Below are 8,484 nucleotides of genomic sequence, written 5' to 3' on the forward strand. Positions count from 1 at the left end.
CTATTTACTTAGGTACTTTTTAAAAATTAACATAAAATCTATTTACTGTGAATGCATAGTTCATTTTGCAACATAAACACTTTTATAATTTCTGCTTGGGGAAAATTTGAGAAAGAGCACATTTACATAGTTTAAGTGGAGTTTGACTCTATTAGAAGGTCATACATTGAGTTATGTACTGCTGCACTATGTAGTTCAAAGGGAATTTTTTTCAGAAACTGAAGTATATGCACAATGCTAATGAGTAGAGGGATAAAATGAGTACTAATGATCAGATATATGGAGAAGTAAATTAGCCAGTTCCTAGAGGGAGTGAGTTCTTTCACTTCAAGTTTCAAAGCCATGCTTGAATCACCATCTGTCAGGGTTTATGGACTGAATGTGTAGCCCTGTTATCAGTGGAAAATCCCTGCCTCTCTTTTTTTTTTTTAATTATTAGAGTTTATTTCTTATAGCAATTTAGATTTATTAAAAAAATGAACAGAAAGTACAGCAAGTTCTTAAATACCACCACTACCACTCTCCTTACAGTTTTTTTGTATTTTAACACCATGCACTGGTGTGGTTCATTTGTTAAGACTGTTGAACCAATGTTGATAAGCTATTCATAACTAAAATCCAAAGTTTACATACGGCTTCACTTGTTGTGTTGTTAGGTCCTACAAGTTTTGCCAACTGGATAAAGCTATTTATCTGCCATTATAGTATTGTACAAAATGCTTTCACTGCTCTAGAAATCTGTGCTCCACCTGTGTATTCCTTCCTCCTTTCTTTGGCACCAACCCCAACTCCTAACAACCACTAATCTTTTCTTTCTTCTTCTTCTTCTTCTTCTTTTTTTTTTTTTTTCCCGTGAAGCTACTCTTCTTTTAGCTTTTATTCTAGGTCTAGAGGCACATGTACCTTTGTTACACAGGTAAACACATTTCACAGGGCCTCGTTGTCCATATTATTTCATCACCCAGAAATTAAGCCCAGTACCCGATAGTTGTCTTTTCTGCTTCTCTCCCTACTCCCACTCTCCCCACTCAAGTAGACCTCAGTGTCTTCTGTTTCCTTCTCTGAGTTCATAAGGTATTATCATTTAGCTCCCACTTATAAGTGAGAAAATGTGGTATTTGGTTTTCTGTTCCTGCATTAGTTTTCTAAGGAAAATAGCCTCCTGCTCCATCCATGTTCCTGCAAAAGACATGATCTTGTTCTTTGCTTTGGCTGCATAGTACTCCATGGTGTATGTGTACCCCATTTTCTTTTTTTTTCTTTTCTTTTTTTTTGAGACAGACTCTAGCTCTGTCACCCAGGCTGGAGTGCAGTGGCGCGATCTCTGCTCACCGCAAGCTCCGCCTCCCGGGTTCACGCCATTCTCCTGCCTCAGCCTCCCGAATAGCTGGGACTACAGGCACCCACCACCACGCCCGGCTAATTTTTTTGTATTTTTAGTAGACACGGGGATTCACCGTGTTAGCCAGGATGGTCTTGATCTCCTGACCTCGTGATCTGCCTGCCTCGGCCTCCCAAAGTGCTGGGATTACAGGCGTGAGCCACAGCGACCTGCCGTGTACCCCATTCCCTTTAACCAATCTATCGTTGATGAGCATTTATGTTGATCCCATGGCTTTGCTATTGTGAAGAGTGCTGCAATGAACATTCACATGCCTGTGCCTTGATGACAGAATGATTTATATTCCTCTGGGTATATACTCAGTAGATTGCCGGGTCAAATGATATTTCTGCTTAGTTCTTTGAGGAATCGCCATACTGTTTTCCACAGTGGTTGAGCTAATTTACACTTCCACCAACAATGTGTAAGTGTTCTCTTTTCTCCGCAAGCTCACCAGCATCTGTTATTTTTTGACTTTTTTTATAGTAGCCATTCTGACTGGTGTGAGATGGTATCTCACAATGGTTTTGATTTGCATTTCTCTAATGATCAGTGATATTGAGGTTTTTTTCACATGATTTTTGGCCACATCATGTATGTCTTCTTTTGAGAAGTGTCTTTTCAGGTCCTTTGCCCGCTTTTTAAAGGAGTTGTTTTTCTCTTGTAAATGTATTTAGGTTCCTTACAGATGCTGGATATTAGACCTTTATCAGATGCATAGTTTGCAAATATTTTCTCCCATTCTCTAGGTTGTCTCTTTACTCCGTTGATAGTTTTTGCTTCGCAGAAGCTCTTAAGTTTAAACAGATCCCACTTGTCAATTTTTGCTTTTATTGCAATTTCTTTTGGTGTTTGTCATGAAATCTTTGCCTGTTTCTACATCCAGGATGGTATTGCCTAGGTGTCTTCAGGGTTTTTATAATTTTGGGCTTTACATTTAAATCTTTAATCAATCTTGAGTTGATTTTTGTATATGGTATGAGGAAGTGGTCCAGCTTCAGTCTTCTGCATATGGCTAGCCAATTATCAAGTACCACTTATTGAATAGGTAGTCTTTTCCACATTGCTTGTTTTTGTCAGCTTTATCAAAAATCAGATGGTCATAGTTGTGTGACCTTATTTCTGGGCTATCTATTCTGTTCCATTGGTTTAAGTTCCTGTTTTTGTACCAATACCATACTGCTTTTTGGTTACTGTAGCCTTTTCATATAGTTTGAAGTTGGATAAGGAGATGCTTCCAGCTTTATTCCTTTTGCTTAGGATTGCCTTGGCTATTTGAGCTCTTTTTTTGTTTCATACGGATTTTTAAATAGTTTTTTCTTGTTCTTAATGAATGCCATTGGTAGTTTGATAGAAATAGCATTGAATATTTAAATTGCTTTTGGTAATGTAGTCATTTTAATGATATTGTTTCTCCTATGTGCGAGCATGGGATATTTTTTCCATTTGTTTGTGTCTTTGATTTCTTTGAGTAGTGTTTTGTAATTTTCCTTGTAGAGATTTTTCACCTTCCTGGTTTGCTGTATTCTTAGGCATTTTACTCTTTTTATGGCAGTTATGAATGGGATTGCCTTTGTGATTTGGCTCTCTGTTTGGCTGCTGTTGATGTGTAGAAATGCTAGTGATTTGAGGACATTAATTTTATATCAGGCGACTTTGCTGAAGTTGTTTATCATCTGTAAGAGCTTTTACTTTAAGGCTATGGGGTCTTCTAGATATAGAGTCATGTCATCTGTAAACAGAGATAGTTTGACTTTCTCTCTCCCTATTTGGATGCCCTTTATTTCTTTCTCTTGCCTAATTTCTCTGTCTAGGACTTCCAATACTGTTACATAGAATTGGTGAGAAAGAGCATTCTTGTCTTGCACCAGTTTTCAAGGGGGGATGCCTCCAGCTTTTGCCATTTCAGTTTAATGTTGGCTATGGGTTTGACATAGATGGCTCTTATTATTTTGAGGTATATTTATTTAATATCTAGTCTATTAAGAGTTTTTAACAGAAATAGGTGTCGACTTTTAAATTGAAATCCTTTTTTTTGTATCTATTGAGAGAAAAGTATTTCTGCTGTAATTTTAAGCAAAAAAGTATTTCTGTTGTATTTTCGCAGCAATAGCTATGAAATAAAAATTTCCTTACTTGGGAAATTTTGAGATATTCAGAACTGAAAATAAAGAGGGATTTTCTATAACTCCATTAAATTGTTAAACCTTTAACAGGTAACAAATAAAAAGAAATCCTGTTAAAATAACATTCTGAGTTGTGGAGGGAGGTCACTAGGGCTTAACATGTTCCTTTGCTCTAGACACCACAGTCTACATCATCAGATACTTACTTACGAAAAGGACATTAATGTATGATTTAAATTGAAATGTAATGATGACAAAGGAATTTCTTGAAAATGATTAAAGCTATAGTAGTAAATAAAAACTCTAAGCATTTACCTATATGGTTAATTTAATCGTAATGTGCACGCTGACATGTTTTATAAGTAATGGATTTCTGACATATTTACAGTTCTATTCTCACTAGGACAATATTGAAAACTTTAAAATAGATAAGGTCTAAGAGAAGAGTTGCTCTACTGTTTAGGGCTAATTCTATTTTTTATATTTTCAAATTATCAGATCCTTTCTGTATTTTTCCTTCAGATTTTTTTTCCCCCTGTCTTGGTCAGAACTGGGTTGTTGCTTTCTTGTACCAGGAACTTTGCTTTTACCAGCACATATATCATTTACAGCAGTGGATGTGTTTTTGGAAGAAGAAGCTCACATTAACTCTGAGGGTCACCATGACCTAGTCCCCATGGAGATGATTTGGATTTTCCTCATCTCTTCAATATTTCTAAAGGCACAGTGAACTTTCAGCAATTGTTTCTTCTGACTACTGATTATACACATTTTTATCATTACAAGCTACTTTGGTGTTTGTTATGATCTTTGTGTTTCCAGGTGATTTCCATCCATTAATCTCCTATCATCCACTGGTGTTTAACCTCTTATTGCTCAGCCTGTTCCCCTACAGGTGTCTTGACCAACTAGAAAACTTCCAGTTTAACAGCATGATACTTTCCCTTGTTTCTGTATGGAAGGTCCAGTGGTATAGCATTTGGCCTTATTTGGCATTGCGGTTCATACTATGTCCTACTAGAGCACAAGTTATACTGGTGACAAGCTGTATTAAGCAATATACAATCAACTTGAAATACAGCACTGGCTGGGAGCATCTGCATATGTTTCAGTCATGCTCACAAGCTTGCCATATCAGCCATTGTACATTCTGACATGCTAAGTGTAATTATCTCTGAGGAATACAATAACAGAAAATGTAAACAAAATATGAATACTAATATACTGTAGTTATTTTTAGGAAAATATGTGGGAAGAGTGGCCCTTAGTATGCTACCGTGCTGTGTTGTGCAGCATTAAGTGGGGTATATGTAATTATCTTTTTGATTTTGCTGTAAAAATCTGAAGGGTAGAAGTTTCATGAGTCAGAGTGCTAAATTTCTTTCCCTCCAAAATATTCAGCAAATGGCCCATCACTTACTGCAATGAAGCCTCTTACTTTTTATGTGGTGCTATGAATAACTGCCAATTCCTCTTGCTATAGCATTCAGCAACTTCCAGTTCAACTGCAATGCATTTAATGAATGTACTGCTTTAATTTTATTCTTGATTAGGAGAATGAGAGTTCTTATATTTGGTAGGTTTTATCATTAATGTAATTTATCAAGTTGGATACTCAGGGAAAAATGAATTAACAGATATCCTCATTCTTCTGAAAGCCAATAGTAATTATAATAATGGCAGTTATAATAATAACAAAAGCAACGAAAACATATTACAATTGCATATAATAAAGATAAACCAACTTTTGATGAGTGCCAGGCTCTACTATTTAACTCCATGTAGTGCTCATGTTATTCCTTTGAAGCATGACATTTTTATCCCCATAATAAAGCAGAGGATCCTGAGATTTTGAGATGTTAACTCTTCTGTCCAAAATTAAAAAATCTAACTCCAAAATGGAAGAACCAACCCTGAACCTCAGTCCATGTCACTCCAGATTCCATGCGTTTTTTAAACCAGATGCTCTTTATTTCTTAAACTAGATATAATTATATTATTTTCAAATGCCAAATTTATAGGTGGAATATATATGGATAACTTTGGATAGTCATTTAACGAAATATATACTTTATATGATTTCATTTCTCTTAAAGATATAAGAAGTATATAAAATATATAACCTATAATATATAACTAATGTTAATCTATAATATTTTAGACATATATATCTCTTCTAAACATGAGTATTAGAAGAAAAAGAAAACAATGTCTTCTCTCTATTTTTGTTATAAAATCATACATAGACATTTCAGGAGATGTAAAATAAAGGCACTAAGAAGAACATTTTATTAATTTAATCATTACTAATTCAACTTTCTAGTAATATTTTGCTAATTTTCTTTCCAAGGTTTTACCCATATACATATAGGAGCACACTGCTACACAAATACTTTATCATTTCTTATAATATATTTTACAGAAGTAGTATCATACCTAAATTTTTCATTTAATATTATGAGACATATACAAGCATCAAAAAATAAATGAAAATTGTGATTATTATTTATGTCATAATCTACTAAATATTTTCTGCTCTGTTAGTTTATAAGTTTCCAGACACAACATACTTAGTCATGAAATATTAGGAAAATCTGTTCTAAAATCAAAAGCAAGGTTAGAATCTCTCACTGATAATATACAATGTATTTTCAAAAGGAATAAATTAAAGAGACATTGTTAGTAGTTAACATGACACTCTACCCAGAGTATCCAAGAGAAAATACTGGAAAGATATTGCAATTAATGAGCTGTATATTATGTTAAAATATTAAATAAAATGTTTAATGCAAAAAAAGCAAATACATTGGAACAACTTCCTTGTAAATACTATACGTCCTGCAAAATACCAAAGTGTAAACCTGAGAAGGACTGCATTGGGCCTCTAAAATGATATACTTCAGTAGAGGACAACAAAGATTAACTAAAAAAATAAAAAATAAAAAATAAGAAACTTGCAGGCACAATTTCATGTTTATGAATGGTGAAATCAATATTGTAAAAAGTCAATTCTAACCAATATAATCTCTACATATTACACAGTTGCAGTCAAAATGCAAATAACTCTTTAAAGAATTTGAAAAATGAAATTATAAATTCAATGTAAGAGAAATTATAGTTTTTTCCAATAAACTATGGTGGCAAAATTGTTATATATTTGAAAACATGTTTACTTGTTAACACTTTTTTCTAATACGAATTAAATTATAATAATTATTATTATTTACTTATTTTAATTTCAGTGGTACATGTGCAGGTTTGTTTTGTAGGTAAACTGCATGTCACAAGGATTTGGTGTACACATAATTTTGTCACCTGGGTAATAAGCATAGTACCTGATAGTTATTTTTCTGATTCTCTTCCTCCTCCCATCCTCCACCCTCATGTAGACCCCAGTGTCTGCTGCTCCCCTCCTACTATCCAGGTGTTCTAATTGTTTAGCTCATACTTATAAGTGACAACATGTAGCATTTGATTTTCTGGTCCTGTGTTAGTTTGCTTAGGATAATGGCCTCCAGCTCAATCCATGTTGCTGCAAAGGACATGATCTCAGTCTTTTTCATGGCTTCATAGTATGCCATGGTGTATATGTACCATATTTTCTTTATTCAGTCTACCATTTATGGGTATTTAGGTTGATTCTATGTCTTTGCTATTGTAGATAGTGCTGCAGTGAACATAGGGATGAATGTGTCTCTATGGTAGAACAGTTTATATTTTGGAGGGTATATACCCAATAATGGGATTGCTAGGTGAAATGGTAATCCTGTTTTAATTTCTTTGAGGAATTGCCATACAGCTTTCCACAGTGGCTTAACTAATTTACACTCCCACCAGCAGTGTATAAGTGTTCTCTTTGAGGCACAACCTCATCAGCATCTGTTATTTTTTTACTTTTTACTAACTGCCATTTTGATTGGTGTGAGATAGTAATTCATTGTGGTTTTGATTTGCATTTCTCTAATGATTAGTGATGTTGAGCATTTTTTATATGCTTATTGGCTGCATACATGTCTTCGTTTGAAAAGTGTCTATTTATGTTATTTGCCCAATGAAAAAGTGTATTTCTACTTTGCCTTACATTAAGCAAGAATTTGAGATAGAAAATATTTTGTATAATATTTAGAAAATAATAATTAATTTTCATAATCGAGGTGGGCAGGATAAAATACACACGAGGCAAACAGAAATTGGCTGATGTATTTTATTCCCCCAAAATATTCTATGTTACAAAATCAACTAAAAACGTATTTATAAAGCAAATGTTAGACCCAGGAATATATATGTAGCATAGGTTTAAGGCAAAGATGATGTACCCAGTGCCAAGAACAGTGGCTTATGTCTTTAATCCAAGCATATTGGGAGGCCTAGGTGGGAGAATGGCTTCAACCCAGGAGTTCAAGACCAATGTGAGTGACACAGTAGGACCCTGTCTCTAAAAAAATAAATAAAAAAAAAATTAGCGAGGAATGGGGGCATGCACTTGTAGTCCCAGCTACGTGGAAGACTGAGGTGGGAAGATCATTTGAGCTCATCAGGTCGAGGCTGCAGTGAGCCATGATGGTGCCACTGAACTCCTGCCTGGGTGATAGACAGACACTGTCTCAAAAAAATAAAAATAAATTAAGGGTTTGTATCCAGAAAAAAGAACTAAAACCTGTAAGAAGAAGACAAACTATGAAATAGAGTAATAGACAAATGATATAATTAAAAATTCATAAAATTTTAAAAATGCTTAACCTTACTGCTAATCACATAAACTGAAAACATGAATATGGAATTTTACCCACCAATTAAGAACTACTAAAATGATTAATAACATCATATATTGGTGAGAATGTGAAATAAAATGCACATACACAATTTTGTAGAAGTATAAATTTGTTAAACCTTTTGGGAAAGCAGCATGTTATTAAATATTAACACTCCATTTATATACCATTTGACTCATAATTTCTATTTCTCAGAACCTGTTTT

This window comes from Homo sapiens, chromosome 8 (genome assembly GCF_000001405.40).
Source record: "Homo sapiens chromosome 8, GRCh38.p14 Primary Assembly".
In the NCBI taxonomy this organism is placed as follows: domain Eukaryota; kingdom Metazoa; phylum Chordata; class Mammalia; order Primates; family Hominidae; genus Homo; species Homo sapiens.